This window comes from Homo sapiens, chromosome 2 (genome assembly GCF_000001405.40).
Source record: "Homo sapiens chromosome 2, GRCh38.p14 Primary Assembly".
NCBI classification, from domain to species: Eukaryota; Metazoa; Chordata; class Mammalia; order Primates; family Hominidae; genus Homo; species Homo sapiens.
Window position 1 is genome coordinate 23,635,211 of NC_000002.12, and position 27,018 is coordinate 23,662,228.

At 53.1% G+C, this 27,018-nt stretch overlaps 1 protein-coding gene across 3 annotated transcripts in view; it reads left to right on the top strand.

Annotated features, from left to right (window-relative positions):
• KLHL29 (kelch like family member 29) overlaps nt 1-27,018 on the top strand; it is a 323,428-nt gene that overhangs the window by 250,032 nt on the left and 46,378 nt on the right. For 2 of the 3 annotated variants that reach the window (NM_052920.2, XM_006711929.4), the window contains 2 exons: nt 3,929-4,070; nt 7,128-7,640. In NM_052920.2, coding sequence (NP_443152.1) covers nt 3,929-4,070; nt 7,128-7,640 — 655 coding nt within the window. Of the gene's footprint in view, nt 1-3,928; nt 4,071-7,127; nt 7,641-9,843; nt 9,895-27,018 lie in introns of those variants that run through there. The other variant, XM_011532501.3, reaches the window with a different exon arrangement.

A 27,018-nucleotide genomic window follows, 5' to 3' on the forward strand; every position in this document is an offset into this window, starting at 1 on the left:
CGTGGGTACACAGCCTGGTGAGCAAAGGGTACTCCATGGGCATCCACTGCTCCTGCCTCCCCAGGTGAGTGTCAGCCCCTTGCCCTCTGCCAGGAATCTTTCATTGCATACCACCTGCGGCCCTACACACCTTTCCCTAAATGAAGCTGGTCCCTCAGAGCAGCTGTGTGGGCCATGCACAGCTGGTTCCCCCCAAGCTGGTGGAGTGAACCCACGTGTCCTCTGAGACTGCTGCAGGGTGGAGGCCCCCAGCCCCCATGGCCAGCAGGTGCCTCCCCCTCTGCGCTGCCTCACGGAGAGCTTCAACCGTAGAGGCCCTCGGTCTTTAGTGTTCTTCAGTCGCTGAAAGAAGCAGGATGCTGTCAGCTGCCATAAAACTGTGACCTTTGAAAATTTACAAGAGCTCAGGGTTTAAAAAGCTGCTGCGTTAATGATGCATCCCATTAGCATCTCATTAAGGGAAAGCCAAGAGAAGCCTGCTCAGGCCTGATGATGGGCAGATAGGGCCACTCCGTGGGGCCAGGCACAGAGAGGCTCTCCTGGTCTGCCTCTCTCTGCCAAGTGCCATCATGTCACTGGAGCAGAAAACATGGCCAGGAACACTGGGGAACGGCCAAAGGTCTGGGTGGCTTCACTGGTGTCCCAGATGATGGCAGTGGGAGGGCACGAGGGGAAGCTTGCTCAATTCTGCCTTCTTCCCTGCTGCCCGGGCTAAGTTCTTCTGGTTGGTTTTCGTGGCATTCTTGTGTTGGCAGCCCTCCCGACCAGGAGGCATGGAAATCAGGGTGGCCTGGGCTTGCAGACATTCTGAACCATGGGAGGAAAGAGTTAGCAGGAGCTGGGCTCAGAGCTGGACCCACGGCCCTGAACATGGTCCCCTAGAAGCTTCCAGAACCCGGGGACCACATGGGTTTACTGAGGGCCTGGAACTCGTCGTAGGAGGGGCCTCTAGTCAGGCCGCGCTGACGCACATCACCAGTGGCTCTGCACGTCACCCACCCGGGGGCCCAGCCTCCTCGGCAAAGGGCACACCCCGTGTCCAGGTTTTTTCTGGAGGAAGTGGAGGAAGGAATGTCATTGCATTATTTTAATAAAATACATAAAATTCCTGAACTACAGGTTGCTTGTAGCTTCAGATGTTGTGAGTGCTCAGTAGAAAATGGGTAGCCTTATGTATCTACCCTAAAGGAAAAAAAAAAAAAAAGACTTGATTCTCACCACAGAGCTGCTTTCTTATACATAAGAAATTGCTTGTAGTATTCATGAACGACACAGCCAAACAGCAGGCCGGTTGTAGCCCACTTCGCCTGCTCACAGCCCATCTGGGCCCGCCTCTGCACACCCGGGATACCCCAGCTTCTTTCCCTCGAGCTGTTCATATATTGAGTCCTCCCACTGTCCCACAGCAGCCACTTGAGGGCAGGGCTGAGTCTTGGTCACCCGTGTCCCTAGTGCCTCGAGCAGTGCCCGACACAGACATACAGCAGAAGAAACAAACTAAATGAGTGAGCGGTAGGAGTGCTTTGAAGCCAAGGGGCTGAGCAATCTGTGTTGGAAAAGTGTGAGATTTTTCAAGTTCAGAAACTCCACCAATTTTAGGGTGACCGTTGGAACTCCTGAAGTTTTAGCGCTCAGAACATGGGGACCCAAACTCGAGGAGACCCCAACCTCCTCTCCTGGAGGCAGGGGCTGCTCCAGGGCAAGTTTCCAGAAGCTTCCCTACCCTGTCGAGTTGCCAGGCCGGAGTGTGATTCAGGAGGGGAGAAGCAGTGGCTGTCGGAAGAGGCTGAAAACCTCTGCAGCCTCTTGCCTGGGACACCTCTAGGATCCCACACGGTGGAGAGGGGCTGCAACACCCCCTCCAGGCAGGAGGGGCTTCTGTACTGTCCAGGAAGGGAGTGCCGGTCAGGAGGCTGGGATCTTAGCATTCACACTTTGCTCCCAGGCCCAGTGTGGGACTTGGCACAGGCTCCTTCTCCCTCAGATGCCTCTGATTCCGAGGAAAGCAATTTCCTGCCTCTGAGCCTCCAGGACTGGAGAGCCTGGAAATACAGCGAAGGCTGTGGAGTGGATAGATCCTTCAGACAGGGCACTCGTTAAAAGCTGTCTATTTGGAGAATGCTGGAAAAACCATGCTATTGTTCCCTAAGACTATTAGTGAGTGCGGCTAAGTCCCCAACCCCCTCTCCTCCCAGCCTCTGCCTGTCCCACAGATAGAAATGGGGCAGGCCCTCTGATAAGGAAGCTTGTCCCTTGAATTGTTCTTTTCTCAGGAGATTCACCCTTTTCCTTTGTTTCTTGCTCTGTTCACAAAAGCAAAGCATCTGAAATGCAGGCCAGAGATAAAGTGCAGCCTGATGCAATTAGCTGAGCGCAGCCCACAGGTCCTAATGGGATACGGCTCCCGTTCCTCCAGCAGGCCCTTACATAGGCGCTGTGTGTCGTCTGCACTATGCGTCGAAGCCCCAAGTGTTGCCCAGCCTCCGCATCCACACCCCCTTTCTGTCCCTGGCACAGAACCCAGGAGAGCCACTCTGGTCAGAGGGGCTCAGCAGCAGGCCCTGTCTCCCACCAGCTGGGTTCCTGGGTCAAGTTTCATCAGAAGTCACCGTGAGGACCATGGTCCTCACCTGAGAGGCCTGCAGATGCCCCGGAGGCTCCTGTGTGCTTCTGTGACTGTTCCTGGCAGGCATCCGTATCCACCCCTCATCCCACACCTGGTTGGGGTCTGGCTGTGCTCCTGGGAGCTGTGCTGACTCTTCCCGGGGCCACCTCTACTGACACCCACACCTGTGCATATCCCAGGTATCCTATCCCAACCTTGCCAGCATGTATCCAGGATTTTTTTTTTCCTATTACATATAATGGCCATAGTAAAAAAAAAAAAAAAAGACAAATACAGAAAAGTATAGACAATAAAATAAGTTACCCATAATCCTCTCACCCAAGAATAACATCCCTGTTAACATTTTGGTCATTTCCCTCCTACACATATTGTTTGACACAGGGATGTTTACATAGGGAGGCCATTTGTGTATCATTCTGTGGCCTGTTTTTCTCATTAAACATTATGATGTAAGCATTTTGTCATCAAGAATTCTTAGTACACATGATTTTTGATAGCTATATAATATTCCATTATAAGGCTGTGGCTCAGGGAGACAAATACTGTCCTGGTGTTTTTTTTTTCACTCTGAGGTTTATTTTTTCCTTCATCTACAAATCTGAACTAGAGAGTGGGCTCATGGAGCAGAAAGCCTGTCTCCTTCCTGCACAGAGGAGCTGAGGGTCCCACCATCCACCTAGGAGCAGTATCTGAGCTATCCCCGCCATGGGCCTCAGCTCCCCACTTCCCCACACTTCCTCCATAGGACAATTGGGCCTCAGAGGCTGGTGTGGGGGCAGGATAGGAAATGTATAAAGTCCCTCACCTGCTGTCTGCTGGTGGCCCCTTGGAAAGCTGTCCTCTCCCATGTCCAAGAGCCAGCTAGTGGTGGCACAGAGGCTGGGCTGGGCACACAGTCAGTACTCAGCACATGCCCGATAAGTTGGTAGCATCTGTGTGGTTGTGGTTTGTGGATGGTCCGAGGGCCAGAGAACCCATCTCATATCTCAGAATGCTCTTCCCGTTGTGATAGGGCAGGTGGAGTGAGTGGCCACGGAGGGTGACAAGGGAGGCACTGGCTTGGATGTTCCTAGAGGCAGGAGCTTAGCAGAGGTCCCAGCTGCTACTACTATGGCAGAACCCCCTGCAATTCCCACCAAAGACTGGGTGGAGGGCTGAGGCTCTGCCTCTGACCCTGTACTCAGTGGGCGAAGCTTAGGCAACTGGAGTCTTGTTTTGGAGGCTAGGTCCCTCCTAGGGAGTCTTGTTCTGGAGGCTGGTCTCTGGCCAGGCTATGCTCACCTCCTCATCTGCTTCCCACAGGCTCCCGGCATCTCCAAAGGGGACAGTCAGTCCCAGGGACTGGCGACCAGCATCCGGTGGGGGCAGACGCCTATCAATCAGTCCACACCCTGGGACACTGATGAGCCACCCTCCAAACAGATGAGAGAGAGTGACAATCCAGGTACGTACCTCATCGGCAGATAGAAACGACTGAGCCCAGGGCTTGGCGGGAAGCTAGAGGCTTCCTGGGGACCCCAACTCCTGCACAGCAGGTCTTGAACCCAGGGCCTGCAGAAGCCCCCTCCTCAGGTTCAGGGGGCAAAGGCACTGTGTGTAATTCCCTGTGAAGGAGCTGTCCCTCTGCGTCTTCCTCTGCTACTCAAGGACTCCAGAGAGCAAAAGGAGTGAGAATGACATTATCAGGGTGACTTTCAATTGAGTCTAGATTCTTTTGAATCATCATTCCCAAACCTGGGTACTCTGATTCATAACAAATTTCTCGAGTCATGCCTTCCAGTAAGGTTTTTACTTGCTGGTGGTTGTATGACAACTGGGGTGTTCTACCCTCGGGGACTGGGAATTAATTCGCCAGCTTGTACAACATCCCAGCCCTTCTTTGGACAGCTCCAGCCATAATGAATGCCCTCTCTTTTATCTCCCATTGGCCCCAGAGCGCCCCCTCAGGATACACAGAACACCTCGATTTGGCCCTCCACACAACAGCCCTACAGGTGTCAGGAGACCCCCTTCATCCCCCTCTCAAAGTCTTGGAATAAACACACCAGGCCATTCAGCCATGCCCCACAGCCCATAGATTCCAGGCCCTTTGCCTTCCAAGGCTTTGCTCTGCCCCCTGCATCCCTCTTGAAGTGCAGTGGCCAGAACTCAACAGTGGTCTGCCCGGCACATGCTTCCTTCAGCACCTCTGGTCTCATCACTCCTCAGCTAGTAGCCACGTCACATGCTGCTTCAACAGCACCCCGAGATGCCCCAGCAGCTACGGTTACCCCTGTTCATGTCCTCACAGTTGGGCTTAGGCAGCTGGGTTTGGAGACCCAATAGCAAGGCTTCATCAGTGTTCCTGTTTGCTCTTAGGATCTCTTAGACACCAGCTTCTGTTGCTGACCCTACCCCTCCCAATTATGTTCCCTGCAGACCTGGTCTTGTCTTCCACGTCATTATCCAAGTCACGGATTAAAATGCTGGGAGCTTGGCGACATATAACTAGAGACTTCTCTTTAGGTCTCTTGTACCCTTGGGCCATTCACCCCATCATAAGTAAATCACCTCCATGGCACTGTGTCTCTGTGTCTCTGCCACAGAGTCCCCTGGGGCCCCACCCATTACGCTTTGAAGTTCTGATGCATTTTTCCAGGCTCTCTGGCTAATCCTGGAAAGAGCAGAGCTTGGGATGACATGCTTTGGCTTAAGACACCCAGGCTGGCTCATAATGACACCACCTCCCCTCTTCAGGCTTGGGGACAGTTCCCATTAGCAGCACATTCTAGAATCTTGCCATTACTTCACTTATGTTTGTTGGCTTCCAGTTCTCCCCGACCTCTCTCGTTATCAAAATCATAAATATGCGTTGCACATGTATTGCGTGCCCTGTTCTGTGCATCATCACAAGGCTTACAGCAATAGTGCCTGCTGCTGAGGAGGAAACTGGCTCGGGAAAGGCTTGGGCCTACGGTCCCTCAGCTGGGAAGGGGCGATGCAGGCCTCGTACCGTGGTCTATGTGACTCCGAGCCTTGCTCCTCACCACCAGCTGGTGGCTCTCCCTTGGACAGTGGGCTGGTAGTGACCCGCCATCTTAGCTCCTGCCCCACCTCGGCGCCATTTTCTTTCTGAGAGGGAGCTCCCAGCTCCACATTCTATCCTGTGGGGCTTGTGGTGCTGAGTGGCCCCCTGCCCCCTACTCCCCTTCCTCTGTCTCCCCATCCTCAGTGTACACTGCCACCTCAGAGCAGCTGTGAAAACCAAGGTACCATTTGGGCCATGGAGACCTGGACCCAGGCTCATTTAGTCAGAGGCATCCCAGACTGGCCTTCCCTGTCATGGTGTCTCCCAGTTTCCCTCACAGGCCCCCTTAGGTCACCCCGCCTGGCACAGCTGACCTCGCCTCTTGTGTTGGCTCTCAAGAGATGTATCTGGACCCCACCTCATTCAGCCATATTTTTCTTAAGGACTAAAGTGGGGTTCTCTTGTTTCCCCCAGGGCTGGCCGTGCCCAGGTTGCTTAGCACAAGGCCTGCCCTCCCCAGCAAGGCCCGGCCAGCCTTTCCATACGTCCCCCACCAGGGTCCCTCCCCTCCTGCGAGGACCATGCCCGGCCCCGGGCTCTAGCGCCCTCACCTGAGGGCCCAGTGAACACCCCCATCTCCACCATCCCCTTCCCCTGCCTCCCTCAGAGGCGAGCTTGCAGAAAGGGAGGAGAAACCCCAGCATTTATAGGGCATTCACCACATGCCAGACACTCTGCTAGTTTTGTTTTGTTTTGTTTCCAAATACATCTTCCTCATTCTGTTCTTCCTGGTAGTCCCCTGAGGTAGGATTTAACAGATGAGAAGAATGAGGCTCAGAGGAAATAAGGACTTGCTGAGGTCAGGCGTGGTGGCTCATACCTGTGGTCCCAGCACTTTGGGAAGCTGAGGCGGGCAGATCACCTGAGCTCAGGAGTTCGAGACCAGCCTGGCCAACATGGAGAAACCCCATCTCTACTAAAAATACAAAAATTAACCAGGCATGGTGGTGCACACCTGTAATCCCAACTACTCAGGAGGCTGAGGCAGGAGAATTGCTTGAACCTAGGAGGCGGAGGTTGCAGTGAGCTGAGATCGCGCCACTACACTCCAGCCTGGGTAACAGAGTGAGACTCTGTCTCAAAATAAAATAAAAAAGAACTTGCTCCTGAGGCTCTTAGCTACTAAGTAGCAGAGCTGAGAGTGGAACCCAAGTCTCTCAAAGGGCTCTGCTTCCTTCTCTCTGCTCTGCTGCCTCTCACCTCTCCCAGGCAGGCCTCACTTCCTCCTCTGAGCCCCGATGGCTGTTTGTTCGTAGACCCCCTAGCACACTTATCCTGGGCTGCCATGATCACAGATTCCTAATCGGTCAGTTCCTGGACGCAGGTGTCTCGTTCCCCTCTGTGACCTAGCACCCAGTGCAGGGCCGGGGATGGTCAGTGTTTGTTGAATGAAAATGTAACCGGCAGATGACGTTTCTTCCATCTCCCTTGCAGGCACAGGGCCATGGGTGACCACGGTGGCCGCCGGGAACCAGCCCACCCTGATTGCACACTCCTATGGAGTGGCCCAGCCTCCCACCTTCAGCCCGGCTGTGAACGTCCAGGCCCCGGTCATTGGGGTGACCCCCTCACTGCCTCCCCACGTGGGGCCCCAGCTCCCGCTGATGCCAGGCCACTACTCGCTCCCTCAGCCGCCCTCTCAGCCACTGAGCAGCGTGGTGGTCAACATGCCTGCCCAGGCCCTGTATGCCAGCCCTCAGCCCCTGGCCGTGTCCACACTGCCCGGTGTGGGGCAGGTGGCCCGCCCAGGACCCACCGCTGTGGGCAACGGCCACATGGCAGGGCCCCTGCTGCCTCCACCGCCGCCAGCCCAGCCGTCCGCCACTCTCCCCAGTGGTGCCCCTGCCACCAATGGGCCCCCCACAACCGACTCGGCCCACGGGCTGCAGATGCTGCGGACCATTGGCGTGGGGAAGTATGAGTTCACCGACCCGGGGCACCCCAGAGGTAAGTCCTGCTGCCACGTGCCTCCCCACGGGCCTGCGTCTGCACCTCCCTGCGCGGTCACTGCAACACCACCGGGACAGGGGGTGCTTCATGCCAGCTCCTTCACTGGCCTCCCCAACCCAGAGGCTGCAGTGGAGCCTCCACCTGCCCAAGACAACTGGCCTGAGATGGGGGAGGGAGGGGGAAGGTGTGGAGGGCGGGACAAACAAAGTGGGAAAATGCGCCGGGGTAAGAAGAGGAAGGAAGGGAGAGCCTGCAAAGCCCAGAGCCCGTCCCCCTCCAGCCCAAGCCCTGGCCATTCTCACCTCCAACCCCCAAGGCCAGGCCAAGCTGCAAAAGGGTGAGAGTCATCCACTCCTCTCAGGGCACCGCAGAACAGTCCCTTTGGGGGCCTTCTCCACATTCCATCCATGAGGACATTCAGAGCATGTACTGTGTCCTTCCCAGGGAAGGCACTCTCTGTCGTGCCATCGGATGAGAGCACTGCCCAAGGCAATTTAGTTAGGCCCAAGAGACATTCCTAGACCATCTTGAGGCACTTGAATGTTTCATTTCAAGGATCCAGGGGTGGCTTTGTGAGACCTTGGGAAAGAGCACCTCCAGCCTCAGCCTTCAGTTAACCCTCTTCCCCCAGCCTCAGGGGAGTTTCATTCCAGGGAACTCGAAGGTAGATCCTTCAGAACAGAGCCTCGGGAAGGATGCGTGCTAGACATGGTCCTAGTTGGAGCCCCCGGTCTTAGGGTTAGAGTTCTTGATGTCTGTCTGAGGGATCAGTCCAGACTGGAAGGCAGAAGGGGACAGGAGGACCAGGGCACACATATGAGGCTTGCTGGATTCCTCTGCTATAGGTTTGCCTAGCCCTTAGTGCCCCAGACAAGCCAAGTCCCTGCTCCTGCTGGATGCAGTGGGGAAGGCTGCTGGGCCACTGCCAGGTACAGGCAGTGGGGGCATAAGGGTCCATGGCAAACAGTCTGGCCCAACGGGGTGTCTACATCTCTTTTGAAAGAGGACACTAGACGGTCCCAGAAAGTATGCATCTCTGGGCACAACTTCCCAGCCTTCCCACATAAAACCCCTTGAGATGGCATTTCGGGGTGCTCTGCCTTTCGGCAGAGCAAGGAACCCCACTAGCCACTCTCCTGTCTTCTCTCCCAAGTCTCTTCCTTTGTCATTTCAAGCAATTTTCATGCCTTGTCAAGCATCCCAACAATAAAGCTCATGTCTGGATCTCTGTTGGGTTTAATTCCCAATCTGACTGAGCCCTAACTGCCTTTGTTTTGGAAATCAGCACTAGTTTTAAATGACAAAATTGTAGAAAATTACATCTAAATTCTGGTAAACTCTTGCTTTAAGATCTTTTTTAAAAAAATGACTAAATTGATTTTTTCTTTGCATTGTTTTGGTTAAGCTCTGTCTCCCTTTAAAAAAAAAAAAAGAAAGAAAGAAACTTACTCCCAGTTCAAGTTCATGAGTTACCAACTCTGACAACTGGGCAGCGGGCATCCTACTTCCAAGGCTATGCCAAAGCCCAAGGCACCGGGTGGCATATTCTGTCCCCACATAGCCCCTCTGGGCTAATGCAAGATCTTGCTGGCTTGCCACGTTCCAGGCACGCATCTAGGAAAAGGAGCTGTTTTGTGCAAAAAGGTAACTAGCTGAGAAAGGACTGGAGTCCCTAGTCTGGGGCTCAGCACCAAGCTGGGATCTGCCCCACCAAAGCTGCTGGGTGCAGGCAGCTAAACATTGTCAGCCCTGAGCCCATGAGATCAGAAAGACACAGGTGGCGGGGACAGGACCCTGCAGGACTTCTGTGCCCACTGGGTCAATGACCATTGCAGAGCTGTTCCTGTAACCTCTGTGCAAGGACCTGAGGGTGTGAACCATCCTCTGTGGTGGTCCTGAGCCAATGGAAGGGAGGGGACAAGAAATAGGGGCCCTGCTAAGATTCCCTCTACCAGGCCCCACTGGGCAGACCGAGGGCCAGGTGTGAGGGCCAGGGATGGGGTGGGCCTAGAAAGTGTCCTCAGCCCTGCCTTCTGGTGAGCCAGCGGGACCCACCAGCTCTAGCCAGTGACAACAACTGACCGGTCCATCACCCTGATTTCCAGAGGTTGCCAGCACACTGGCTCTTTCCTCGAAATTCCATGTAACTCGCTTCTCTATTTACGGCCTCATCAGCTGATGGAGCCCCTTATATTTGCAGGGAAGAAAGAGTGACGCACGCGCCTACAAATGCCTCCAAACTCAAGCCTGGGTGGGTTTTTTCTTTTTTTAATATATAAGTAATTTCTCTTTTCATTTCTAATCTTAAAAGCCTTTATTGCTGAAGCTATAATTTGTCTGTCAGATCTAATGTCAAACAACTGCATATTTTTTAAAATAAGAAACCCGAATTTTGAAACTAAATCTTTGAAACTTGCCATGTGAGAGTCGTGTTCCTGACAGGACCAGGTGGGCTTGGATCTGGGTCACTTTTAATTTTGCCCCTAGGGATTTTACATCTCTGAAGCCCAATTGATTTCACACTCCTAAATGACAGACAGCTGGCTCCAGGCAGGAACAGGAGGCTCTGCGTGATGGCGTCAACACAAGTCAGAACTCCACTTTAGAAAAAAAAAAGAACTTTCCTTTTCTCCTGTTCTCTGTTTGAAACCTTGCCCAGCATTATAATAAGATCCACCATGCAATGCCTTGAGATCTAGCTCGTTAAAGTCCCCGATATTCCCTGCTATTGTTTGACGTGACAACCTGGCCTCTCCCGGGGTTGAGTAATTATGGGGAGATTCCCCTCCATGAAGAACAGGTCTTGCCAGCCAGAGGGATGGGCCACTGGTATTTTTAGACTTCATTAGTGCCCAGATTTAAAATTTCACATTTTGTTTCTTGTAATTATCTTCTGATCGACTGAGCTCAAATTTCAGTTGGGGCCCTATTAGTCTGCCTTTCCAAAAAGGGCGTTGGGACTTTAATTTAAAACTTAACCAGTTGAAAAATAAAGGTGGCGTGGAAATGCTTTTTGATTTGCAGTAGGTCAAGCGATTGTCTCTCATCTGTGACTAGAGAAGCCAGCTTGTGTGCCATTCACTTTAATGAGTGTTATTTAAATGCATTGAGCACATATAGATTTTCTTAAGAAACTTACAAGACAAATCTTTCTTTCTCTAAGAACAATTTGGGGGTGGGAGCAAGCTGTAGGATTTTTTTTTTAGATGATGTATTGAAAGCTAATTAAAAATAGATTTCATGTGTGCAAAGTGATAAGGGAGGAAAAAAGAATTCGTTCCATTTGAATCCTGTTATGAAGTACCTAAGACATTTGTCTCGTTGTTGGATTGGAACCACCGAGCTAACACATGGGGAGAGGTGTGGCCAAGCTCAGGCCTCGGTGAGACCTGGAGTCAGTGTTACTACCCCAGGATCCCGTGAACCCAGCTGTGCGTGCCTGATGACAGAGCACAGGCTATGAATGCAGCTATTTCTACCCCTGCCTTCTTTGGCAAACAGTTTTTGGTGGCTCAGAGGATGTATGGGGACCTTTTAAAGCCCCAAGCTCCAGGCCTAGTGGTGAGCTGCAGAAAGGCTATTGTGTCTTCACCTGCGTGGCTGGGAGTGAAGAGTCAGGCTGCACCTGCTCCCACCTGCTTCTAGACCAGAAAGCAAAGCCCGTGTCAACCTGAGCAGGGAAAGGTATCTCTTCGGACTTCATATTTTGCAGGGGCCTAGGGTGAGGGGTCATGAGGATCCATCTACAGGCTTGTCCTCCCTTCTGGGAGGCCGTACTGGGAGAGAGGGATGGTTCAGCCCCTTCCTTTGGTTCTCCAGCTCCTCCCTTCCTATTCTGGCACTGGACTTCCACCTCATGGCACACCATTCATCCTCGCTGCTGCATTCATCCCTGTCTTCACAAGTAACAGTGATGAGATCTTGTGAAAATACTTTGAGGCACAGGGAATAGCTGTGTGACTGGGACAAGCCTCCTCACTTCTCTAAGCCTCTTTCCTCATCTTTAAAGTGGGGGTGACAGTACCACCCTCACAGGGCCTCAGGGAGGATTGAGTGAGATTGCGGACATGTCCGTACATAGCACTGTGCCTGCTTACCCCAAAAGCAGCTCTGGCTATTGCCTCTGGTCCAGGGTCTAGAGAGTTCAGCAGAGAAGGAGGCTAGGGAAGGGGCAGAAGGCCAGGCCCTCCCCAGCGCAGAGGAGATGGAAGAAGCCCATGCTTGTCCACAGGGCTGGCAATCCCTGGTCAAGCCATTTAACTTAGGGATGGGGACCCCTTCCCTAAAAGGGAGGTGGGATGCATCCCTTTTCTGTCAGGAGGACTCAGGATGGCTCTCCCCAGGTGTGAGGCCTGGCACTGATCTCATCTCTCCTTGCCCCACACTCTGACATGTCCAGGGCACATTGTTCCTTCCACAGCCTCCATAAATATTCTGGAAGAAGCTGGGAATGCATGATAAAGCTGTTCGCCCACACTCAGGCCAGAGGCACAGAATTTTATCCAGACTGAAACTGTCTTCCCACAGACCTATTCTTCCTGTGTCTGTGCCTCAGAAATGCCAACATGAATTCATTCAGGGTTCAGACTCAAGGCCTGCGTTGTCTGTGGCCAGCCCTTTGTCCACCTCTAGCACTAAGTCTGAAAACTCAATCGATTCAGGTTTCTACATATGTCCTCTGCTCTTCTGTACCCCCACCACCCCACCATCAGGCCACCGTCACCTCTGGCCTGCACACTGGCCTCCCAGCCCACAGTGCATTCCTTCCAGTCTGGCTCTACGGTGCTGCCAGAGTGATTTTTCAAAATGCAGGTCTGGCCCTGCCACACCCTGTCCAACAACCCAGTTGCTCTGGGGACAACGGCCAGCGCTGACTCGGTGCTTGCCACCACTTCATCCTTTGCTGTTCTGCTTGCAGGCTGCCCCGTAACCACCCCAGGCCTTGGCTCTCCAGTCTAGCCGTGCACTGTGCCTCGGTCGAGTGCCTGTGAGACCATTCGACTGTGAGCCCCGGGGTCAGGGGCAGCAAGGATGCTATTTCATCCCCACTCCCCCCTCAGTATCCAAGCCGGTACCAGCACTCAGAGATGCCCCAGAAGCGTCTGATGAATGTGGGCACAAAGCACTGAGCTGAGAATCACCCACCAGGGTTCTGTGACTTCCCCTTCCCTTCACATGAAAGCAGGTCAGTGCTCAGGGCCCCAGGCATACGGGGATGGAAAGTGCCCTTAGGAGAGCTCGTTCTGCAGCCCGTCACCCCCCGACACCTGACCCACGCCTCTGGGGACAGAAGTCCATCTGTTTCAAACTTCCTTCTGCACCCAAGCACCTCCACTATATCCTGCCCCAGACCATACAGGCTCTGGAACTCTGCCTCAGTTTCCTCATCTATAAAAGGGGGAGAAGACTAGAACCCACTTCTTACAGTCATGAGGATTGAGTTATTTTACATACTCGTAGGCTTAGAATATTGCCTAGCATGCAGGAATCACTATAAAACTGTTCACTGTGATTACTTTACTGGTACCAGGGCCATCTTTCAGTGTCCGTGGCCTTTTAGGGGCCCAGGTTAATGAGTCCCAGGAGATATGACATTTGAAACACCTAGCTCCCAGGGCGTCCACCGTGAACAGAAGAAAATCCCCTTCTCCCATTGTAACGTTTGACAATCCTCCACTGACCATAACAACCGGAAGGAAGCAGCCTGTTGCTGGGAACTTCTCCCTAATTCCGGGAGCTATCTGTCTTGGGAGAGCTCCTCCTACCTCCCCTCAGGGGCTTTCAGTATCCCGTGGCATTCAGCTGGATAATCAGGGTGCCAGGGACACCGCCGGGGCCAGGTCCTCCATGGCCACGTCAATAGATGGGACCAAAAGAATTCTCTGGCTCCTCCAGACCAAACAGCCAAGGCTGCAGGCAGAGAGAATTGATTGTGAGGATGTGGCTTGCAGCATGGATGGTGGTTGAGAGCCCAGATTCTGCAGCAGACTGCTTGGGTAAATTCAAACTCCACTTCCCACTAACCCCATGAACTTCTGCTAGAAAAAGGGTGTCTCTAAGCCTCAGTTTCCACATCTGTAACTTGGAGGTAATAGTGCCATCCTCACAGACATGCTTTGAGGATTAAATAATGTATGTAAAGTCTTAACCCAGTGCCTGGCACGTAGTAGGCTCGAATAATATTAGCTGTTGTTATGACCACTACTGTAAATCCTAAAGATTCTTGGAGGAGAAATCGGGTCTGGAGCACCTTAGCCTCAGGACCACCACTGCTTTTAAAGCAAGGTTGTCCAAAATAATCTCCCAAGTCTGACTGAATGGCTCACAACATGGATCTGAAACCAAACCCCCATCCCACCCTTGCCCTGACTTTCCAGCCCCCACTCCTGATACACACACCCTCCTCCAGGCAGTGTGTGTCTCAGAGCCCGTGGAATTCGAAACTCCATCTGCACAAGGTTCTTCGTCCTCGCCTGAGCTGTACCTGCCCCAGCCCTGCTCAGGAAGCCTCCTCCCCTCGCAGGGCTCTGTCCTCATGGGGCTTGTTCATCAGTAATTGGAGGGTTGTCCAGGGCTTAACGGTTTTGTTAACAGATCATTTGACTATGAGTGAACCAGGCAAGCGGAAAGATGCCGCAGAGGCCGCTGGACCACCCAGGGATGGTGTCATCCTGGGAGCAGGAGGTGACCCCTGGCTGCCCCAGCCTGCTCAGCAGGGCACAGGCAGAGAGAACCACCCTGGACCCTCTCTCCACGGGGCTGCGGGAGCATATGGGCCTTCAGCCCCAAATCTCCGCTGAGCATCTTCAAGGTCAGAAGCCCTGCTCTGGCCCCAGTTGTCTGACAGGGCCAGAGGTCCCGCTGCCGATGGGGATGAGAGGGCTGTTCAGACGAGAGCCAAGGGTGGGAACATTTCCTTCCTGGGGGCTTCAGGTGATGGTGCTGACCCGTGGCAGGAAGCCAGCTGCCCTGATCCCAGCCGCTGTCTTCCTTCAGGAGCAGCAGGCCCCAGCAGACACCGGCAGGGTAACCCGTGAGGTTCCAGGTCAGTGACACACGGAGGCCACTCAGGGGCTTGAGTCATGTCCCCTCCCTCCCTGCTGCACCACCAAGTTCTTACTGAGCCATCACGTTGTGGTCTTAGGCACCTCCTGTGCACAGAGCCCACGTGTGGCTTCTCTCCTGAGCCAGGCAAAAGAAACAGGCAGGGTGCCAACTGCATGCCCCACGTGGTCTGGGTTCCTGTGCACATGAGGCCTGTGGCCATGTCAGGCCCTGGGAGAGAGGTGCAAGTCTGCCCTGGGGGAGCTGGGGAGACCAGGAGGTGCCAGCAATAAGGGCCTCAGGGGCTGGAGAAAAGAGGGGTCAGGTTAGAGCCTGCAGGAAAGTTAAGGGGACAGTGAGTGGTTCTACAAATGCCAGATCTTAGGAAAGAATGCTGGAGGGAAGTGCCAGGGACACAGAATTATGATTTTCCAATAGATCCATCTATCATAGAGTCACACACACACACACGTGTGCACACAGTTTGCAGGGCCTGTCCTGATTTGAGATAGGGTCAGCTAGTGAGTTAAGTACAAAGGCCCAAGCCATCCCTCTCTCTCAATGCTTGGCACGCCAAGCCCGGGGAGCCTGCTCGGGCTACTTAGCTGACGTCTTAGCCTCATCAGTCAGTGTTTGCTGGGGTAGCAACCCAAGATCTTGCACAAGAGTCCATCATCTCTGAGGCCATACTGGTCTTGCAAGGTGAAGACCTCCTTGATTCTCAGGGGCTTTGACCTGGGTAGAAAACACTGGGGGCCATTAACCCCTGACAGGGAAATCAGGTGCACATCCATGGGCCAGAACTTACCTGTGCACGCCGCTTTCTCCTGTCATGACAGGGGTTTAATGTCGAGTTTCCTGTTGCCTAACCACTATTTAAACATCTGGCATCTGCTGTTTGTGCCAGGAAAAGTATGCCATGCTGGACTGAGCCCTAGAGTTTTCTAGAGGTTGGGAGGAGTTTTGTGAGAAGGTGAGCCAGGCCATGGCGTGGTATGTGTGCCGCTTGTCCCCATGTGATGGAGAGGGAAGGACATCATGGCACCCCAAATAGGAAACAAAACTGGAGAAAATGTGGCACAAAACTGGTTCAATGAGAAATGATCTGGTTGAAATTGCATTCCATTCAAGAGCACACTCACTATTCTAGAAATGTAAGGGGTAAAAATAATACAAGCAGAGTATTTTAGGAGCATAAAACATTGTGTAAATTGCTTGAAGAAAAAATGGCTGAAAGGTCGCCATCCATTGAAATCGTTGTCATTGCCTGTTTTCTTCATGTAACTCTCTTCTTTAAAAAAGAATATATGTTTATATTTTTAAAACATTTGTATTATATCTATGTTCAAGGGAAGCCCAAGTGTTTTCAGTACACCACAAGGCAAATGCTCCTTCCTTTTACAGTGTCCTGGCAGCCTCTTGGATGACTAAGCACAGACTAAGACTGTGAACAGTCTGGTTCTGCCCACAGGCCTCTCACTACCTTGCCCTCCCCTCTTGCAAATGACCTCTCGGTGTCATTGCTTAATGCCTCAGACCAAGGTCTACACACAATGCCGGTGTGTATTCGTTTTTCACCAACATCAGCAAAGTCAACGCCATGGCTACATCTTAGTCTGCTAGGGCGTGTCTTCCCTGGTCATGCTCCAGCCTGTCAAGTGCCTTTTAAAGGAACACCAGGTGACAGGCAAGGTGGCCCAGGGAGAGGGATTGTCACCTCCTTGGTCTTGAGCATCACACTGTAGATATTCTGACTTTTCATTTTGTGCTGCCATCACAAAATGCCACAAATTGGGTGGCTTAAACAACAGAAATGTATTTTCTCACAGTTTTGCAGGCTGGAAGTCCAACATAAAGGTGCAGGCAGGGTTGGCTTCTGGTGAGGCCTCGATTCTTGGCTTGCAAACAGCCGCCTTCTCACTGTATCCTCACGTGGCCTTTCCTCTGTGCATGAACACTCCTGGTGTCTCTTCCTCTTCTTAGAAGGACAGCAGTCCGACTGGGTTAGGGACCCACCCTATGACCTCATTTAACCTTAATTTCCTCTTTAAAGGCCCTTTCTCCAGATACAATCACATTGGGGATTAGGGCTTCAACACAGGAATTTGGGGTAGGAGGGGACACATTTCAGTCCGTAACAGTCTACAAGTCTGTCTAGTTGGCAAATGGAAAGGGTAGCCCCTCACAAGGCACAGTTCCCATGTAGTTACAATGTCTGCCTTCTACCTGTGGGTGTTTTCAGTGATTCGCTTGAACATTTTCATAAATGCACTTTTGCCATTTTTATCCTGGTTTAGCTACAGGCTGCTCCCTCTGCTTTGTTAACTAAGCATTGGATATATTTCCCATGATTAGCATCATCCATACTTGGGGTTAATTGTTTTTCCATAGAACTTTCATGCTGGGAGGGAACCTACCGTCACCACTGGGAACTAAGCAGGAACCACCGATCGCTAGACAGTTTGTCCTGTTAAATGGTTAAGAGCTGTCTCTTCGTGTAACTTCCATGGCCCTGCCCTCTGGAGCCATCCAGAGCAAAGCTGGTCCCTGTTCTACATGACAGCCCTTCAGCTTTTGGAGGATGGCAGAATTTCCTTTTCTCCAAACCAAAGATCTCCAGTGGCCTCAGCTGCTCATCCTGTGAAGATTCCCTTTACCATGTGCATGTCCTCCCTGGTCATGCTCCAGCCTGTCAAGTGCCTCTTAAAGGGATACCAGGTGACAGGCAAGGTGGCCCAGGGAGACGGACTGTCACCTCCTTGGTCTTGAGCATCACACTGCAGATATTCTAACTTTTCTATAATAATTGTGGCTTATTTGGTTAAAACACACGTTTATACACGCAGAGATATATGAATATACACTTAAACTTCCAAATGAAGCGAAAAGAGAAAAAATTGTCTCCAGAGTCCTGCTGTCCACTCGGCTGATTTCTTTGGTGTCCCCACCTCCTCCTTTTTATCAGGATCGAGATTGTTGGTCATTCCTTTTTGTAGACACCCCCAGCCCCACCTTCATTCCAGCAGCTTTTTGCCCCTAACTTGGGAGCAAGCGAACTTTCTGAATTTTTAAATTATTTCCTTTTGAAGTCTAGGAGGTAGGTGTGTCTCAGCCCACCTACCCTACCCCCATGCCCCAGCCGTGCACGCTGAAGCAACTCACCGCCTTCCTCTCTGCTGATGGGAATTTACTCCCGAGCAGCAACCCGTCTGCTCCGTTCAAACCCTTCTGCCTCCCTCGTTTACCACCATAGTGAATGTCAGAGTAGGATGCTACCTACAGTCAGCCAGGAAAACCTCACTTTACAGGTGGGGAAACTGAGGCTCAGAGGTATCACCTAGCTATCACATTTCCCCCAGAAACTGTCACTAGAAAGCTCCCTGTGAAACCACCCCTATTCCATGGTGCCCTGTGGAATTGCTTCATTTGCTGCTAGGAGTTGTCCATCTGAGACCTCTTCTTTCCTCCCACAGACCAAGAACTCTACAGGGACAAGCCCAGCATCTGCATGGGCCGCACTGGGCCAGCTCTTAAGCCTCTCCAAGCTTGCCCATGTGGTGCACGCTGCCAGCCTCTGGGATCAGAGCAGCACATCCCACCGGGAGCCCTCTGTACTCAGTGGCAGCTCCACAAGGAATGAATGGGAGGAAGAACAGGGACAAGACACGCACCACTCACAGGGGCCGAGTCATACATGACGCACACAGGCAAGGTCAGCCAGGGCCACAGAGGATGATTTGATGAGGGAGGAGACATCATCCCAAAAGGAGAGGAAAAGGTGACAAGGGCAAACTCTGACTCGAGAATATGGGAGCCCCCACCCCATCACTTCCCATGGTCAGGGGCTTCTCTGGAATTCCTGCTTGGCAAACTCTCCTGGGCAGATTTCCACCCTCCAGGTCTCTACAAATATCAGATGAGTGTTTTTTGTGGTGACAGTGGTTTTCAAAAACGACTCTTATATCCTGGTTAAATTGCCCAGCTTCGGCCAGGCACGGTGGCTCACAACCTATAATCCCAGCACTTTGGGAGGCTGAGGCGGGTAGATCACCTGAGGTCAGGAGTTCAAGACCAGCCTGGCCAACATGGCAAAACCCCATCTCTACTAAAAATACAAAAATTAGCCGGGTGTGGTGATGGGTTCCTGTAATCCCAGCTGCCTGGGAGGCTGAGGCACGAGAATCGCTTGAACCCAGGAGGTAGAGGTTGCAGTGAGCCAAGATCGCACCACTGCACTCTGGCCTGGGTGACAGAGTGAGACTCTGTCTCAAAAAATAAATTTAAAAAAAAAAACTAAATCACCCAGCTCCTTCCTGGGAGCCTGAACACCTAGTCAGCTATGTTTCTCCAGTGGAGTCCAGAGCACCTTCGAGAGCCAGAACCTGGCCCAGTTAGCATCCCCGGCTTTCCTTGCTTTCTTTTCAAACCCCAAATAGAACCTGTTGCTGCAGACCTCACACGCCCCTCAGTTTAGGAATTGCCATGGTGATTCTGAAGGCTCCTAATCCATCTGCTCATGTGAACAGGCAGGTTTCAGGAATTGATTGATCCAAAAATAATTTCTATATTTTCAGTCTTTCTTTTATATGGAGATATTCATTACCTTCAAGATTCCTCTCCCAGAAAGCAGAGATGTGGATGTGTGGCCTCCCCCTGGGTCTTTGTAGTAATGGTGCCGCCTGAGGATTTGAAGCTGGCCCTGCTGTTGGTCTTGGGCTGGGGTCGGGAGTGCCATTCCAGGGAAGCCGGTGGGCAGGGCTGGGAGATGCAGCCTTCTCTTCCAGAAGGGAACAGAGGTTGGGGGGGGGGGGTGGATGTTTTGTATGTGCCTACCACTTTATATTCATTGTATATTCACCCCGTATTTATGTATTCCTTGCATCTGCCCTGAGAGGCAGAGTCATGGATGGAAAACCAAGGCCTGGCTTAAGACCCTGCCCAGGTATAGCTGGTAACGTGAGAGTCATTCTCAAGACTGCCTGCCTCCAGTGCCCATACCCTTTCCGCCACACCACACCTTGGGGCTTGCTGTTGTAGCCTGTGTGGTCACTAGGCATGTCTGGGCTAAGGACGGGCAAGTCCCACAAGTGGCTGTTTCGTGTCTCCTGCAGTCTCCTGGCTGATACTTCTCTGTATAAGCTGGTGATTCTTGGGCTCTTTCCTCATCTCCAAAACCGTTGTTGGGATGGCTGGGTGGATGGATGGGTGGGTAGGTAGATGGAATTCCCAAAGTAACACAAGGGGCATTGGGCCATTTGAGGAAGCTGCAGACAGAGCACTGGCCACCACCAAAGCCACTGGAGCTTGGGAGTCAGGCGGCCCTGGGGAGTCCTTCCTGTTGCTGCGTCTCCCACACCTTAATCAGAGCATCGCCAATGCAATAAAGTTAATGGAGCCAGTCATCCTATGAAGGAGCCAATTCCGTGCAAAGATGATACATCTTTGAAGTTGATGAGGCCTATTAATTGAGCTTATGCCCTTTAAAATGAATTAGATTCTTGAAATCTACCACACAGCAGTACATCCATTTAGTGTTTCTGTCACCGAGGAATGAGGAGCCACCAGCACAGAGCTATAGGAACTGTCTTCCTGCTGACATCTAGCATGGCCTACGGCTCCTTGGGAGCTCCACAGATGTCATGCCTGGCCAGCCATTCTTGTTCTTAGCAAATTCCCCAAATCGGCATAAATAGCTCCAGGAAGAAAGTGATACCGATGATCCATGGGCCTCTGGAAGCGCATCCAGCCAGCCCTCAGCCATTAGCCCCTACCTCAGGATCAGTTAGCAGAGATGCACAAGAATACAGCTAGACTGCCAGCACTTCAAAAATGGCCACTGCACAGGTGGAACTGGTGCAGGGTGGTCCCCGGGCTCCAGTAGGGTAAGCAGACATGGTTTCCAGGAGGTGTGTAGACCTGGAACTGACTGAGCAGAGTGAGTGCAGTCAGTGAGCTCAGTCAGTGACTGAGCAGATCTGACTGCAGCCTGAACGGGAATCATCACGCGGCATCCCCTGGACCCCCAAAGATGCACCGAAGCTCTGCTCAGTCTCAGACTCCTCCCAGTTACCACCACTCGCAGTTGCTTAAGAGCACAAAGTGGCACTTGTTTTGCCCACAGAACATCTGCTGAAGACAAAACTTGTGTTTATAGCTCTTCACTTCAAAAGACTGGCCGTGTTATAAAAAGAAAGGGACCATCTGTCCCTCTTCTGGACCCCAGCGCCTCTTGGAAGAGATTTCTGTGCAAGAAGGCAGTGAGAAGTCAGCGTCGACTTCAGGGAACTATTTTGGGGCCGGAAAAGAATAGTGCCTACCCGCCAAGGGGACCGTCGCCGGCAGATGAAAGCCAGCTTTGAGGAGGCCATGCGATGGGAGATGCTGGCCCGGAGGAGGTGGGCTGTGCGCCAATGATGCTGCCCAGATATTCCAGCAGAGCAGAGACCCCAGAGCAGAGAACCAACTGGCAGGACCGAGGGATGTGAGGGAAGGCGAAGGGGAAGGGCTGTGAGGCACTGCAGCTCCCAGGAGCAGGCATGAGAAATGTCAGCAACAGCTTGCTGCCACGCAGAGTCAGATATCATGTTTGCATCACCCATGTGCGTTCCTTCACCCGACTTCTGGGGCCATTCTTATCTGCAAGGCCCCTTAGGGCAGTTCTGCCTCTTGGGAACACCTTAGGCTGAGTGATCGCCTTCCCGTGGCTGAGAGCTGAGAAGTTCTTCCAGACTGCACAGGTGTCCGGTCTGTCTGTGATGCCCGCTTAAGACTCATCTGCCTTAAGCCCCTGGGCACCAATATAGAAAAGTCATGTGAGTCCAGGAGAAGCTGGGCGGAGGTGAGGTGGAGCCAGGATTAGCACGGGGTGGGGCCTGCAGAGGGGAGGAATTTCCCAGGCTTCCTGGCCGGCATCTCCCAGGCTGAGCATCTTCCAGACTGAAACTCCCTAAGAAGGGCTTGGCCCTCCCCGCCTGCACGGTGTTTCATCGGTTTGGAACAGTCCTGTTTCCTTCCCCTCCCCTCGTCCCCAACAGGAAAAAAAAAAAAAAAAAAAACTGGTTTCTACCATCATCCATGCACATTCCAGAAATCTTTGGTCTGTGAACCTCTAGTCTTAGGGCTTACTTTGTTTCAGATCAAAACCTGCTTCTGTCCTAGGGTGGAAATGGGGGTTTGGGGAGTAGAGGCCAGAAGTGGGGTCCTCTGAGGACACCCCTTACTCCCTTTTCCTGCTTGTCTCTGACAAGGCACCCCTGCCAGCTCTTCCTGGGCCGAATGAATTTGAGAGCTTCCTGAGGAAGGTTTGCAAATTTTCAGTGGCATCCTTAAATGTACGGAATTCCCCCAACCCGGGCACATGCATTTAGATTCTGAGGACGAAGGCAGTTCGTGATGTAGCGTATTCAAGGCTCTCAGAATCCTAAAAGGTCACAGTCCTTTTATTCTTGCCTCTTTTCACTTCTTTACTGTTCTTATTGATTTATTTGGGCACATAAGAAAACACAGTAGGCAAAGCCCACTACTTCTATTGAAATAAAGTATTCTGCAGTCAAACCACACACCATAAAGAAATAATTGCAGTCTGTATATATTGCTAATGGACATCTCTCAGCAATTCCCTGTCTCATAAGCTTTAAACACAGACATTAGTATAAATATGCAGAAATCCCCATTCGGGCAAATTACTCTGCATTTCTGAATGGAAGGAAGATTAACCATGTGCTGATATCAAGCTTTGAAGGAGCCCAGCAGAGCAGAAAGAATTCACTGGCCCTCTCTGGGAGGGAGGTTGGGACTCCCTGAGAGAGTTTTGGCTGGCATCTCCTCACCCCCTGGGCCCAGTGCTCCCCCAGAGCACTGAGAGCTGTGCCTCGGGAGTGGGGGACCGGCCTCGCCTAAGAAGGCTGGTTGGTCACCGGGATGTATTTGCTGAGCCTTCCGGGCTCCTGAGGCTCTGGCAGGAGCAGGAGCAGGAAGGCTGAAGGTGGATGCTTTGGCCTGGCCTCTCAGCTGCCTGACAGAAGCCCTTAGGGGTGGTCCAGGCCTCTGAGGCCAATGGGCTTTGCGGAGCCACGGGGCAGTTCGTGGAGCCAGCTGGCTGTGCGTCTCAGCCCCTCAAGCTCCATGGCACCCAGAACAGCCTGTGAGCTCCCTTTCTCTGTCCCTTCTCCATGCTTGGCCCTCCTCCCTCCTCCCTCTCCTGCCCACTCCTCCTCCTCTTCCCATCCTTCCTCTACCCTCCTCCCCATTGTCCTCCCCCACCCTACTCACACCCTTCAAGGGTCCCACCCTCCTCCACCAAGGCCAGCTCCAGGGTGGGGGCCTCCACCTTGCGGAGCTCCCAGCCTGTGCCACCAGAGCCGAAGCCCTGCCTGAGCGTCATGGGCTTGTGAGGAAAACCCCCTGAGCCCTGGACACCAGGGTGGGGAAGATGCCCCCGTCAGCACAGGCTGCTAAGTCTGGGGCTGACAGGGTGACAAGATCTGGCCTCACCAATTGCTGATTAGAGGGGGGCAGCAGATTAGAGGGCAGGCAGCCTCATTCGGGCTCCCCACAAGGCTCACAGAAGCACCCCCCAGCTGCTCAGCACAGGCCCCACGTCCCCTTGACACTGGCCGTGGCTCCTCTGCCCAGAGGCATGAGGCTCCGTTCTTCTGGGCCGAAGCAGTCTGGAGGGGAAGGGGAGGTGGCCGTCCATGAGGGGCCATCTCGTTGTCTGTCATGGGAGGTGAATGATGAGCCAGTCAGGGGCCGCCGCTGCCAAGAGGCCTTCCGGTTGTTGAGTTTGTGTCCGCCCACCTTTCCCACAGCGGAATTGAGTGCAGAGGCAGAGGAACTCACACTGACATGCTGACGCAGAGGAAAGGGGACTTTGGCCTCTGGGAGCTGAAGCCACAGCCTCACTGCCTTGCGCCGCTCAAATTGCTGGGCCGGTCAGAGGGCCTGGGAACCAGGTCTCCTCAGGAGAGACCCGTGAGGCCCAGAGTATCTGTGACATCCCGGTTTTCTGGTCAGAATTCGGAGGCCCCAGCCTCAGCGTGGAAGAGTAAGCCTCTCCTCAGCTCACCCCAGCGCAGCACAGCCTTCACTCACTCTCCCCACCACCCAGCATCTTGATGGTCTATTTTCATGTCTGTCTCCCCCACTCAACTGTGAGTGACTTTAGAACACCCCCGCTGCTGACCGATTTAGCAACTGTGGATGAAATGTAAAAAGGTACCCTTTTCTAGGACCCTTGCTGCCACCTACCAGAAAATTGTCATAACGAAGGAAACCTAGGATGTGCGGGAGCTGAATGGTACCCCCTGGAGTTGTGCAGTGTGCAACTTGAGCAACCCGTCCGCAGCGGCGCTGGGGGACTTACTGAGCTTATTACCTTCCAGACACTCTTCTAGCATGTTGCATATGTTGACCCATTTAATTCTTACAACTCTGAAGTAGGTATGTTCATGACCTCCGTTTACAGAGGAGGAAACTTCGGTTCAGAAATGTGAAGTAACTTTCCCATGCTTACCCAGTGGGTCAGTGGGTGGACACCAGGCAGTTGAGTGTCAGCAGGGTCCTCAGCCCCAGAGCCTTGTCCTCAACCTCATCTTCACTTCCATTCTCAGCGCCGAGTCCCGGATCTGGCTATGTGAGTGCTTGGCAGGTGCGTGTCCAGCGTGAGGACAGAGGAGGGGCCTGGCTTCGGCTCAGTTCAGCTCCCGCTTCCCCCACCATTGAACCTGTTTCCCCATTTGGAAAATGAGCAGCTGGTCCCAGATCAGAGGAGGTGCCCTCACTCATACCCAACTGTGCCCAGGGCTAAAGAGCTCTGAGCCTCCCCATGAGATCATCCAGCCCACCAGGCTTCCTCCCCAGGGCCTCCTGCAGCCAGGCCCTCCTCCAGGCCTGGCCAGCCTCTGTGGTCTCAGTTCTCCCTCCCACCCCTCAGGGTTCCCTGGGTGGCGTGCTGCCTCCTCATCTTCTCCAGCCTCCATGGTCAGAGCAATCTTCCTAACGCACCACCTGGCCAGGCCCTCCCCTGCTTGGAGCCCTTCAGGGGTCCTCCTTTCTCACTAAGCCCCTCACCTGTTGCTCAGGCCACCTGTGCACCACAGCACTGCACCTGCTCACAGTGCCCCTCACACCACCCCTATCTAGACCTATCTTTAGCCTGTTCCTCCTCCAGAAAACTTCCCTGGACCCCCACACCATGTGGAAGCCACCAGGCCCAAGTGCCAGCCTAGGGCAGACAGGTCTCTTCTCTGTGACTCACTCTTCTCTCCAAGGTGGAGGGTCTTGGGGTCATGGCCTGGGCCAGAGACCAGGCAGGCATGGACCACCCCCTGCCTCACCAACTGAAAGACAGTATGCTGACATCACACCTGGCTTTACGTAAGGTGGCTTAGGTCACCTCAGCTCCCTGTTGCTTCCCCCTCAGCCTGTCTCTTCTGATTTACACAGGTGCTCTCACCAGAGCCAAGGCAGCTTGCCCTCCCTGGGAAAGTCAAGTGTGGGCTTATCAGGGTTCCCAGCCACCATCCCTGGACCCCCTGCAGCTGCCAAATGGAAACCAGAGCTTCCACATGAGGAGCTGCCAAAAACAGGTGTTCAAGCCCCGCCAGAGAGGCCTGAGGAGGCAGGAGAATTCCAGGAAGGGGAACACTCTGTCCCAACAAGAGTTGGTTCTCATAGCCAAAAAGGGACAAGGGGCACAGATAACTGTCCCCACAGCCCCCAGCTCACCAGGCTCCAGCCTTCTGGGAGTCCAGCCCCTCCCCTGTGGCAGGTGGCAGTTGGGGCCCACATGGAAGCTCCAGGGGTTCCCCAGCCTCTTCCCAGGTCAGTAAGAAGGCAAGAAGCTGGCCGGGCACAGTGGCTCACACCTGTAATCCCAGCACTTTGGGAGGCCAAGGTGGGTGGATCACCTGAGATCAGGAGTTCAAGGTCAGCCTGGCCACCATGGTGAAACCCCATCTCTACTAAAAATACAAAAAAAAAGTCAGCCAGGCGTGGTGGCAGGCGCCTGTAATCCCAGCTACTTGGGAGGCTGAGGCAGGAGAATCACTTGAACCCGGGAGGTAGAGGTTGCAGTGAGCTGAAATCGAGCCATTGCACTGCAGCCTGGGCAACAAGAACAAAACTCTGTTTCAGAAAAAAAAAGAGAGAGAGAGAGAGAAGCCAGGCATTGTGTCTCACACCTGTCATCCCAGCACTTTGGGAGGCTGAGGTGGGAGGATCACTTGAAGCCAGGAGTTTAAGAGCAGCCTGGGAAACATGGCAAGACCCCATCTCTACAAAAAACTTAAACATTTAGCTGGGTATGGTGGCATGCACTTGTAGTCCCAGCTATTTGGGAAGCTGAAGTGGAAGTATTGCCTGAGCCGAGGAGTTTGAGGTTACAGTGAGCTATGATCTCACCACTGCACTCCAGTCTGGGTGACAGATCAAGACCCTGTCTAAAAAAAAAAAAAAAACCATGAAAAATGTTTTAACAGGAGGGAAGCCCAACCTCAGAAGGTCCCAGGCTCCTGACAAGGCGCCAGCTGTATCCCCACCCCCAGACAGACCGCATCTGCACACCTGGCATAGCCTCCCCCTGCGTTCGTCACAGGGCCAGGCCCCTGCCCTGCTGAGCTGCACCTGGGGCTGGGCCCGAACCCCTCCTGGCATGGGCAGTGGCAGAGGGAACAAGAGTATGTAATCCTGCTCCTGGGACCAGGTCAGTTATCTGGAAGGACATGGCTTTACTCGTGGCCGAGTAGAGGTGCCCCCACAGTGCCCCTGGGCACTTGTCCTGGGAAGAATCTCCAAACCCATGAGCAACCCCCAGGCCCACTGGGAAGAGGGGAAGAGAGATGATGAGTCACTGAGGCTTGAGGCCCTGAAAAGCTATTTGCTGGGAGCTCTGGAGCCAACTGCCCCCAAATGCATGCTCGAGAACATCTCTCTATGGCTGCCCTGCACTCCTGAGCCAGCCAAACGGTGCCTGCCCTTGTATAGGAGGAGACCCTGGGCAGGTCGCCAGGTATCCTCTAGAATCCATGCTCCAAGGGGACAGCCAGTTGCTGTATCCAGCGCTTGGCACATGGTAGATGCTCAGTAAACACTTTTTGAGTGTATGAGTGAATGAATAGCTCCAGCTGAAAGGATGAGTGCTGCCCACAGTACTGAAGCACAAGCTCCAGGTGCTCCGTAGGCATCAGAGCAGGGAGGGTAGAACCCAGGAGGATGGGGCAGCTCCAGCAAGGGTGCAGAGGGGGCTCTCTGGGCTCCTAGGGGGTCTTTCAGCAAAAGTAATGCTGAAAAATTTTGACTTACAGTGATCAGCTTCAATGGTCTTAACACA